We start from the raw sequence: 7,277 nt of genomic DNA on the forward strand, positions 1-7,277 counted from the left end.
TTTGGGAGGCCAAGGCAGGCAGATCACTTGAGGACAGGAGTTTAAGACCAGCCTGGCAAACATGGTGAAACCATGTCTCTACTAAAAATCCAAAAAAAAAAAAAAAAAAAAAAAATTAGCCAGACATGGTGGCGGGCACCTGCAGTCCCAGCTACTCGGGAAGCTGAAGCAGGAGAAGCACTTGAACCCAGGAGGCGGAGGTTACAGTGAGCCGAGATCGTGCCACTGCACTCCAGCCTGGGTGACAGAGCGAGACTCTGTCTCAAAAAAAAATTGGCTCATGCCTGTAATCCCAGCACTTTGTGAGGCCAAGGCGGGCAGATCACCTGAGGTCGGGAGTTCGAGACCAGCCTGACCAACATGGAGAAACCCCATCTCTACTAAAAATACAAAATAAGCCGGGCTTGGTGGCGCATGCCTGTAATCCCAGCTACTCAGAGGGCTGAGGCAGGAGAATCGCTTGAACCCGGGAGGCGGAAGGCAGAGGTTGCGGTGAGCTGAGATGGTGTCATTGCACTCCAGCCTGGGCAACAAGAGTGAAACTCTGTCTCAAAAAATAATAATAATAATAATAATAATAATAATAATTCTAGTATATGCATTTATAGGAAAATAATAACATAGGTATATCTTGTTATATAAAATAGGTGTGTGTTCCTGAAGTTTCTGTCTTTAAATAGAATGTTAATAAATCATATCAAGCCTTTGTAAAGAGACTATTCATTCTCAGAGGTTCTATGTGTAAATTTGGGTTTAATGTATTAGGTCTAGGCCAGGCACGGTGGCTCACGCCTATAATCCTAGCACTTTGGTAGGCCGAGATGGGATGATAGCTTGAGGCCAGGAGTTCAAGACCAGCCTGGTCAACATGGTAAGACTCCATCTCTTTAAAAAAAAAAAAAAAGAAAAAAGAAAGAAATATATTTTTATATATATGGTCTGAGTAAATAGCTATTTGTATAGACCCAGGTAAATCCTCCTAGAAATCTGTATGTTTGTATGTGTGACAGTTTCATTTATACAATCACATGTGTATAGCTATTTCTATAGACCCAGGGTTCTCAACTGGGGGCTAGTTTGCCCCTTAAGGACATTTGGCAGTAACATTTTTGGTTGTCACAACTGGAGTTGCTACTACTGCCATCTAGTGGGTGGAGGCCAGGGATGCTGCTCAACACTCTACAGCGCACAGGACAGCCCCCAGCAAAGAATCATCTGGCCCAAAATGTCAACAATGCCAAGGCTGAGAAACCCAGATGCAGTCAAGTATTAAATGACATTGACTGATCTAGAGAAACATTTTCAAATGACCTGGATGGCCTGGGGTAGTGGCTCATGCCTGTAATCCCAGTGCTCTGGGAGGCAGAGGTGGAAGAATTGCTTGAGACCAGGAATTCCGGATCAAATGACCAGGATGAAAATGTCTTTTTTTTTTCCATCCTGATAACATTCACAATTGGTTCACTTCCTCTACATTATCCTTTTTTTTTTTTTTTTTTTTTTTTTGAGATGGAGTCTCACTCTGTCACCCAGGCTGGACTGCAATGGCACAATCTCGGCTCACTGCAACCTCGGCCTCCTGGGTTCAAGAAATTCTTATGCCTCAGCCTTCCAAGAAGCTGGGATTACAGGCGTGCACCACCACACCCAGCTAATTTTTGTATTTTTAGTAGAGACAGGTTTTTGCTATCTTGGCCAGGCTGGTCTCAAACTCCTAGACTGAAGCAATCCGCCCACCTCGGACTCCCAAAGTGCTGGGATTACAGGTGTAAACCACCACGTCTGTTTTTTTTTTTTTAAATCTCCCAAACCAAATCCATTAGCAAGTTCTATCAAGTCTGTTTACAAAAGACTTGCCAAATCTAACCCCTCTCCATCTCTACTCTCATCTATGCAGCATCATCTCCCGCCTGGCCCAGTAGGCAACCTTCCAGCTGCTCTCCCGGCTTCCCCTCTAGCCCCGCACCATCGGTTCTCCTTGCCTCCAGAGTGGTCAGTTTCAAACACTGTTAGAATAAAACTCTAGCTCCTCACCCTGCCCTCAAAATCCAGCATAATCTGAACTTCCCTGGGCTTGTACTTCTCTCCCTGCCCCTGGCTCCAACACATTGCCCTTCTCTCTACCCTCTGCCAATGCTCAATTAGTTCTGACCCTAGGCCTTTGCACCAACCATGCCCTTCACCTGGAATGCCTCTCCTCGGCTGGCATCTACTCTTATTCAGGTCTGGCTCAAATGACAACTGCTTAGAGAACTCTTCTGACCCCTAGTCAATCTCCTTCACAACCCCTCACTTTATTTTCTTTACAGCTCTATCACCATTTGATCGCCATCTGTCTCCCCTCCACTAGGATATCAACTCCAGGGAGCAAGAACTTTGTATATTTATCCCCAGAGCTGGCAGAGTTCCTGGTGGAGGGCAGGCAGTGAGTAAATATTTGTCTAATAAATACATATGGTATAACTCTTTAAACAAAAAAGTAACATAAAGCTGGCCAGGCATGGTAGCTCATGCTTGTAATCCCAACACTTTGGGAGGCCGAGGCAGGCAGGTCACTTGGGGCCAGGAGTTCAAGACCAGCCTGGCCAACGTGGTGAAACCCCGTCTCTACTTAAAATACAAAAATTAGCCGGGCATAGTGGCGGGCGCCTGTAGTCGCAGCTACTCGGGAGGCTGAGGCAGGAGAATCACTTGAACCCGGGAGGTGCAGGTTGCAGTGAGCCAAGATTGCACCACTGTACTCCAGCCTGGGTGACAGAGCAAGACTCTGTCCCCAAAAAATAAAAAATAAATAAAGCCCCTTAAACTCTGATGATGCTTATGCCAAACATTTCACATGAAATGCTTCTTAAACACAAGCCCTACTCAGAATTCACACTCTATTTCTGTGATTTAGGGATTTAATCTCTTGCTATTTCAGGTTCAGGAATCCAGGAGCTAAAAGAAGAACAAACCCAGTGACTCCTGTCTCTTGGAGTCTGGGCCCAAACTAAACTTGGCTACACGGAGAGAAAGCCCTAATTAGTGCAGAACTTAAAAACAAAACAAACAAACAAAAACAGAGCTGGGGGTGGGGTATCTAGCTTCAACTGGTATGGTACTTGTAGATCCTTCTTGGTGAAAAGGCCTATGAATCAGGGTTTCTTTGTTTTCTCCTTTTTTTTTTGAGACAGAGTCTCACTCTGCTGCCCAGGCTGGAGTGCAGTGGCGCCATCTCGGCTCATTGCAACCTCCGCCCCCTGGGTTCAAGTGATTCTCCTGCCTCAGCCTCCCGAGTAGCTAGAATTACAGGCATGCGCCACCACACCTGGCTAATTTTTGTATTTTTAGTAGAGATGGGGTTTCACCATTTTGGCCAGGCTGGTCTCGAACTCCTGACCTCAGGTGATCTGCCCACCTCGGCCTCCCAAAGTGCTGGGATTGCAGGCGTGAGTCACCGCGTCCAGCCTCTTCTTTTTTAAACTGATAAATAAAAATTGTATATATTATGGAATATAACATGTTTTGATATATGTATACATTGTGGAATGGCTCAGTCAAGCTCATTACCATATATGCATTACCTCACATACTTATTTTTGTGTGGTGAGAACACTTAAAATCTACTCTTAGCAAATTTCAAGTATATCATATTCATATATATATTTGGGTTTTTTTTTTTTTTGAGACCCAGGCTGGGGTGCAGTGGCTGAATCACAGCTCACTGCAGCCTCAATCTCCCACCCAGATTCAAGTGATCCTCCCGCCTCAGCCTCCTGTGTATCGGGCTACGGGGGCGTACCACCACACTCAGCATTTTTTTTTTTTTTAAATTAAATTTTTAGTAGAGATGGGGGTCTGGCTATGTTGACCAAGCTGGTTTTGATCTCCTGAGCTCAAGCGATTCTCCTGCAGGCATGAGCCATTGCACCTGGCCCTGGATCAGGGTGTTCTAATTAAACAATGGGATGTGTTTGGACAATCAGGCTGAATGGAAAGGTATATATTATAAGCCTCTTCTAGGCAAAGCAGTTAGCCTTAACACAGAGATGAAAGCTATGACCCCAGCCAGCAGGAAGCTAGGTGATTTTTCCTGTATCAGGACATGTACATTAGATATTCCACCGGCCTCAAAAGCTTTCCTCAGTTGCTCCATCTTATCATTCAGGGATTGGTCCTCATGTCACCTTCTCAGAGACCATCCTGGCCTCACTATCTAAAGCGACCATACACTTTCCTTTTTTATTTTTTATTTTTTTTGAGACAGGGTCTTGCTCTGTTGCCCAGGCTGGAATGCAGTAGCACCATCACGGCTCACTGCAACCTCGACCTCCCCAGGCTCAGATGATCCTCCCATCTCAGCCTCCCCAGTAGCTGGGACTACAGGCACATTCTACCATGCACGCGCCTATAGTTCGGTATTTTTTGCAGAGATGGGGTTTTGCCATGCTGCCTAGACTGGTCTCAAACTCCTGAGCTCAAGTGATCTACCCAAGTTGGCCTCCCAAACTGCTGGGCCACTGCGCCTGGCACCATTCACTTTCCTTTAACCATTTGATTTTCTTTATAACCATCACTTAGATATTTTCTTCTTCTTTTTTTTTTTTTGAGATGGAGTTTCACTCTTGTTGCCCAGGCTGGAGTGCAATGGCGAGATCTTGGTTCACTGCAACCTCCACCTCTCCAGTTCAAGCGGTTCTCCTGCCTCAGCCTCCTGAGTAGCTGGGATTACAGGTATGCACCACCACGCCTGGTTAATTTTGTATTTTTAGTAGAGACGGAGTTTCATTATGTTGGTGAGGCTGGTCTCGAACTCCTGGCCTCAAGTGATCTGCCCGCCTCAGCCTCCCAAAGTGCTGAGATTACAGACGTGAGCCACCCCGGCGCATTTGGTTGATATTTTCTTGATTGCCTGTCATTTTTACGTATTTATTGTCTGTCTCTTTCTGAACCCACCCAAACTTGCCAGTTCACTGCTATTGGGCTACACTGTCTAATAGGGAAATCACATGTGGTTACCAACCACTTGAAATGTGGCAAGTCAGAATTCAGATGGGCTGTAAGTAAAAAATACACAACACGTTTTGAACACTTAGCACAAAAAAAAATCTAAAACATTACATTACAATTTATTTGATTACATGTAGCAGGAATATTTTAGACATGTTGTATTGAAAGAGTTTTTAAATTGTCACCTAGTTCTTTTTTCTTTTTTTTAATGTGGCTACTTGAACATTTTAAATTACATACGTGGCTCACATTAGACTTCTGTTGGTCGGGGCTGGCCTAGAGGGTGCCTGGCACATAGTAGACGTTCAACAAATATTTGCTGAATGAATAAGTGAAGTCTAACCATTGCTCTGAAGATTTCAACTGTTGCCCATTGTATTTCCTTTACAATGGGCTTTATTCCATTTGAAAATAAGTTAAAACTCTGGCCTTTTTTGTACAGTAACTTGGCAGCTCTCAACAACCCTGCCCACACCCTCAAAACGAAGTTGTCAATCTTTAGGAAAACCCCAGAACTGGAAACAGATTTCTGTTAAAAAGGCAGGCTAGCTACAGATTGCTTTCAGATTGAACTGTAAGGAGGCAATGGAAATCAAACGGAAGCTATAAAAAGATTCACATAGGATCTACACAAACAGTAGGGGCCCTTTTAAAAAGAATTCTACGGGTAACACTCACTGAAAAGAAAGCCCTTATCTAGATGGGAAGGAGAGAGAGCTGCCTTTAACTCAATGCCTGACTTCAGCAAACAAAGAAATGTCATTTCCTAAATTAAAAAGTAACACCACCCCAGGGAATACCCAGATTTCAACCTTCCCACCCACAGTAACAAGCCATCAGCAATCAGAACCCTCCAGACCAGGATGAAGCTTGAACTTGGCTGCAAGATTACCATGAAGTTCTGGAACAAATTCTGAGCCCTAGGCCTTGAACCTGCTCTGAAAATTTCTCCTAAGGAAATTACATTTAAACTCGGGTCCTTCAAGACCTGGGACTCCCGGAATCAATTCTAAATCTATCCCAAGTGGGGTTCCGAGGGAAGGTCGTTGGAGGGGAGAGGGCCAAGGCGTGCATGCGTCTTGGGGTTTTTTTCCCCTTGCATAAGAGACACACCTTTCCCACTGAGATTTTATGTTCATCTGGGCTGGCTTGAGGTATATCCAATATCCTCTGACTTCCACGCTGTCTTCTGATGGGGATGGCAGTTAACAAGAATAGAGGCAAGGTCCCCACCCATCAGTGTATCCTAAATTTGCCTGATCATACATGTCACCAGGGATCAGCGTCTCCAGTCCCGCCCCACCTCCACTGACTTAATCTCCAGTGGGAGAGGCTGGGAATAGATTGTTTCAATAGGGAACCCAGACCCCAGACCCCATTTTTACCGGGTCCCAGCCACCCTCCGAGGAAGGTACTAGGATTATCCCATTTTGCAGATCAAAACTGAGACGTGGGTGGCGGTGGTTCAGTGGCTTGTCCACTGTCACGATCACACAGCTTGTGAGGGACAGAGGTGACTCCCATCCAGACATGCAAGTGCGTCCCCTGGCACCTGGGTACCCAGGGGCACCCACCCCCTTGGGGATCTCCGTTTTAGGGCTTGGTGCCCCCCGCCCCGAGTCCCACCCGGGAGCCCCCTCTGTCCCGGTCGGGGGATCTCCTCCCGCAGAAGCCCGATCTTCCCGATCCTGTCGCCGGCGGGAGTCAGGGTGGCGGCCACTGACAACGAAAGTGAAACAAAGCTGGTCGCCGGGCGCGCACCCCCGCCGGCCCCGCGCGGACCTCCCAGGCCGGACGCCCCCGCCGCGTCCAGCCCCCGCCCCACCCCGCCCAGCCCGCCCCGGGGTCGCCTCCCCCCTCCCCGGGGAGAACGGGCCAGGGCCCCGCCGGGCGGGAACGGGCGCGCCCGGCCCCACTCACCTCCGGCCTCCATGGAGGACGCGAGCGGCCCCCGCGGCAGGCGGCGGGCGCCTCAGCCCCCCGGGCCGCGGGCCCTCATGCCGCCCCCGCGCCGCCCGCCCCGGCCAGGCCGCCGCCGCCGCCCGGAGAGGCCATCAGCTGCTTCCCGTCACATGGCGGTGGGCGCGGGCGGAGACGCGCGGGGGCGGGGCGCAGGGGAAACGGAGGGGGGGTGCGGACGGGATAAAAACGGTGGGGGGCAGCTGAGGGAAAAGATGGAAAATCGGGGAGGCGGTACGCTGACGGGATAAAAGCTGAGGGGTTGCTCAGGGGAAACGGGGGCGGGGAAGACGCGCGAACCAGATAAAAATGGGGCAGGGGTGGGGGGA

The 7,277-nt window shown here is 48.3% G+C and overlaps 1 protein-coding gene across 3 annotated transcripts in view, besides 1 other annotated feature; it reads right to left on the reverse strand.

Moving 5' to 3' along the window:
- The window catches only part of WSB2 (WD repeat and SOCS box containing 2), a 29,488-nt gene that overhangs the window by 21,440 nt on the left and 771 nt on the right, over positions 1–7,277 (reverse strand). For 2 of the 3 annotated variants that reach the window (NM_001278558.2, NM_018639.5), the window contains exon 1: positions 6,910–7,053. The exons of the other annotated variant lie outside the window; for it this stretch is intronic. Coding sequence is in view for 1 of the 2 variants with exons in the window: in NM_018639.5 (NP_061109.1) it covers positions 6,910–6,922 (13 nt within the window). In the remaining variant the exon portion in view is untranslated. Of the gene's footprint in view, positions 1–6,909; positions 7,054–7,277 lie in introns of those variants that run through there. 3 annotated transcript variants of the gene reach the window in all.
- Positions 6,463–6,512: a silencer, noted in NCBI's record as "silent region_4921". NCBI's record gives its function as "represses an Ori minimal core promoter by ATAC-STARR-seq in GM12878 lymphoblastoid cells {active_cell/tissue: GM12878}" and the evidence as "EXISTENCE:reporter gene assay evidence [ECO:0000049][PMID:35858748]".

The sequence above is a fragment of the Homo sapiens genome, chromosome 12, assembly GCF_000001405.40.
Source record: "Homo sapiens chromosome 12, GRCh38.p14 Primary Assembly".
Classification (NCBI taxonomy): domain Eukaryota; kingdom Metazoa; phylum Chordata; class Mammalia; order Primates; family Hominidae; genus Homo; species Homo sapiens.